Below are 1,064 nucleotides of genomic sequence, written 5' to 3' on the forward strand. Positions count from 1 at the left end.
GTAGGGGAGGAAACCCAGGTGAGGTGGAGCACAGGGAGGAAAATAGATTCACAGAGGGTGCTTCTCGGGTCATCCAGGCAGTGTCACATTTTCCTGCCACCACCCTCCCTGCAACTGGCACCTGAGGTGGGGGATGGCATTATGAAAATGAGCTCTTAACCTGGGGGATCTGCCCTGACTCAGGTTGGTTTCAGAAGTGAGTAAAATTGGAGAACACCAGCTCGTATTGGAGAATTGGTCAAGAAAACCCACACATCTGGTGTCAGAAATGAAGTATCGAGAGTAATAGTGGAGTACTGCGGAAAGCAGTGTGTTTTTCCTATTCGCTCCCTCATGAGAGAGTGGCAGAGACCACAGATACCATTTATGCTGAGTTTACCCGACCTCATCACCACCAGCTAATAACAATGTAGCCAGTTCCTCTTTTTGGGACACTGCCCTTTTTTCAAGTGTTCTATAAACAAGGCTGCAATGACAACTACAATAGCCGAGTCATTCTGCTCACTGTAAGATATTTCCTGAAGGCACATTACTTGAAGTGGAAAACTTTCTCATGCAAGTTGCAAAACTGCTCCCAGGAGGGGTCTTCCAAGTTGTTACATCCAAGAGAGTAGGAAATGCTTCAGATCTGTACAACACTATGTGTGTCTGTGTCTGTATGTGCCTGTGTGTATATATATGTGCTTGTATGTGTATGTGCATGTGTGTATATGTGTCTGTGTGTATGTGTGTATATACATATTGTGTGTGTACATGTGTCTGTGTGTGCATGTATGTGCATGTATATGTTTGTGTGCCTGTGTACTTGTTTATGGAGCTTTGCAATTGTTAATTTTAAAATACTACATTATTGTGGCCTCTATTTTTTTATCAACAGTAAATATTTTTCGATATGAACTGACCGTTTGTTTGAATCTGTATGTATGCATTACCTGTGTGTGGCTTTATTGCATTTTCTATCCTGGTTCTTACCTGTTTTAGTTTTAACAGCCTCCTGCCACTCTATATACTATAGATATTAAGAATTTTTAGGATAATAGTGTAATTTATTGTCTAAATCAGGG

At 41.4% G+C, this 1,064-nt stretch overlaps 1 annotated feature.

Annotated features, from left to right (window-relative positions):
- Positions 542-741: an enhancer, noted in NCBI's record as "active region_17647". NCBI's record gives its function as "activates an Ori minimal core promoter by ATAC-STARR-seq in GM12878 lymphoblastoid cells {active_cell/tissue: GM12878}" and the evidence as "EXISTENCE:reporter gene assay evidence [ECO:0000049][PMID:35858748]".

Source organism: Homo sapiens, chromosome 20 (assembly GCF_000001405.40).
Source record: "Homo sapiens chromosome 20, GRCh38.p14 Primary Assembly".
NCBI lineage: Eukaryota > Metazoa > Chordata > Mammalia > Primates > Hominidae > Homo > Homo sapiens.